At 42.9% G+C, this 2279-nt stretch overlaps 1 pseudogene; it reads left to right on the top strand.

Annotated features, from left to right (window-relative positions):
• RPS4XP11 (ribosomal protein S4X pseudogene 11) lies at positions 1018–1906 on the top strand (annotated as a pseudogene).

The raw sequence follows: 2279 nt of genomic DNA, 5'->3' as shown, positions 1-2279 counted from the left end.
ATTTTTAATGTTGTAAAAGAAACAAGTAAATGCCTCAGAGCCTACAGCCTTTAGGATGGCTAAGAAATCCAACATCATAATGACATTAAGGCTTTAAATGAGAATTGAGACGTCTCTGCAAAGTTTTTGAGTTAAAATTTTTATTGCTTGTGTTCCCGGGATCCTTAGATAACAGAGTTAAAATAATTAAAGTGTGGTTATGGCAACCCTGCCAGCTTTCATGGTTTTGGAGATTGCTATGATTTGAGTATGGTTTGAGTTTATTTCCCCCAAAAACTCATGTTGAAATTTGATCTCCAAGGTGGCAGCGTTGGGAGGTGAGTTTAGTGGGAGGTATTTGGGCCATGGGGGTGGATCCCTCATGAATGGCTTGGTGCTGTTCTCATGGTAGTGAGTGAGTTCTTGAATTAGTCTTGGATTAGGTCTCTTGGGAATGGGTTAGTTCTCAGAAGGGCAGGTTGTTATAAAGCCAGGACATTCCTCAGGCTTTGCCTTTCTTCACACGTGTCCACTTCACCTTTGACCTTTCCACATTGTTGCTTGTTTTTTTGTTTCTTGTTTTTTTCTTTTGAGACAGAGTCTTGCTCTGTCACCAGGCTGGAGTGCAGTGGCACTATCTTGGCTTACTGCCACCTCCGCCTCCTGGGCTCAAACGATTCTCCTGCCTCAGCCTCCTGAGAAGCTGGGACTACAGGCGTATACCACCATGCCCAGCTAATTTTTTGTATATTTTTAGTAGAGACGGGGTTTCATCATGTTGGCCAGGGTAGTCTCGAACTCCTGACCTCAAATGATCTGCCCACCTTGGCCTCCCAAAGTGCTGGGATTACAAGCTTTAACTGTAGCCCCCGGCCTCTCCATCATGTTTTAGCCTACCATGAGCCCCTCAGCAGAAGCCAAGCAGATGCTGGAGCTGTGCTTCTCATACTTCCTAGCCTGCGGAATCAACTAAATAAACCTCTTTTATTTATAAATTACCCAGCCTGAGTTATTCTGTTATTGCAAAAAGAAAAGGTTAAGACATAGGTGATCCTCCTTCCTTGCCTAACACAGCCATGGCTGTGTCCCAAGAAGCATCTGAAGTGGGTAGCAGCTCCAAAGCATTGGATGCTGGATAAAGTGACCAGTGTGTTTGCTCCTTGTCCATCCAGTGGTCCCCACAAGTTGCGAGAGTGTCTCCCCCTCATCATTTTCCTAAGGAACAGACTTAAGTATGACCTGACAGGTGAGGAAGAAGATTTACATGCAGCAGTTCATTAAGATCAATGGCAAGGTCTGAACTGATATAACCTACCCTGCTGGATTCATGGATGTCATCAGCATTGACAAGATGAGAGAGAATTTCTGTCTGATCTATGACACCAAGAGTTGCTTTGATGTACATCTTATTACACCTGAAGTGGCCAAGTACAAGTTGTGCAGAGTGAGAAAAATCTTTGTGGGCACAAAAGGAATCCCTCATCTGGTGACTCATGATGCTCACACCATCCACTACCTTGATCCCCTCATCAAGGTGAATGACACCATTTAGATTGATTTGGAGACTGGCAAGATTACTGATTTCATCAAGTTTGACGCTGGTAAGCTATGTATGGTGACTGGAGGTGCTAACCTGGAAAGAATTGGTGTGATCACCAACAGAGAGAGGCACCCTGGATCATTCGACGTGGTTCGTGTGAAAGATGCCAATGGCAACAGCTTTGCCGCTCGACTTTCCAACATTTTTGTTATTGGCAAGGGCAACAAACCATGGATTTCTCTTCCCCGAGGAAAGGGTATCCACCTCACCATTGCTGAAGAGAGAGACAAAAGACTGGCGGCCAAACAGAGCAGTGGGTGAAATTGTCCCTGGGTGACATGTTAGATCTTTGTACATAATTAAAAATAACATGGCATGATTAATAGCCAAAAAAAAAAAAGACATAGGTGATCTTCAGCCTGACAGCTAAGTCCTCCTGCATCTATGTTCAGAATGCTTCAGTTATGTACTTGTTTAATTAAATAGAATAGTAAGTCAAAATGTGTTATTTGGGGGGAACTCATATTTCCTGGGAGGAGTTTTGTGAGATAAATGTTCAGCAGTTAGAGATTTTCCTTCTTGTTGCAGGGAATGGCTTTTCTCAGTTAGGCAATGATAAAACTTTCTACTATTAGGAAAGTAGAGTATAGTAACATCACGTATTTAAATGGAAAAATCAGTATAAGCTTTGGCTTTAAAAAAGATGTATATTTTCTAGCTCTATCACTCTTTTATGTGGTCCCACGGCAACAGCAGCACA

The sequence above is a fragment of the Homo sapiens genome, chromosome 10, assembly GCF_000001405.40.
Source record: "Homo sapiens chromosome 10, GRCh38.p14 Primary Assembly".
Taxonomy (NCBI): Eukaryota; Metazoa; Chordata; class Mammalia; order Primates; family Hominidae; genus Homo; species Homo sapiens.
Note: the sequence above shows the minus strand (reverse complement) of the source record. Positions and strands in the feature narration are given on the sequence as shown.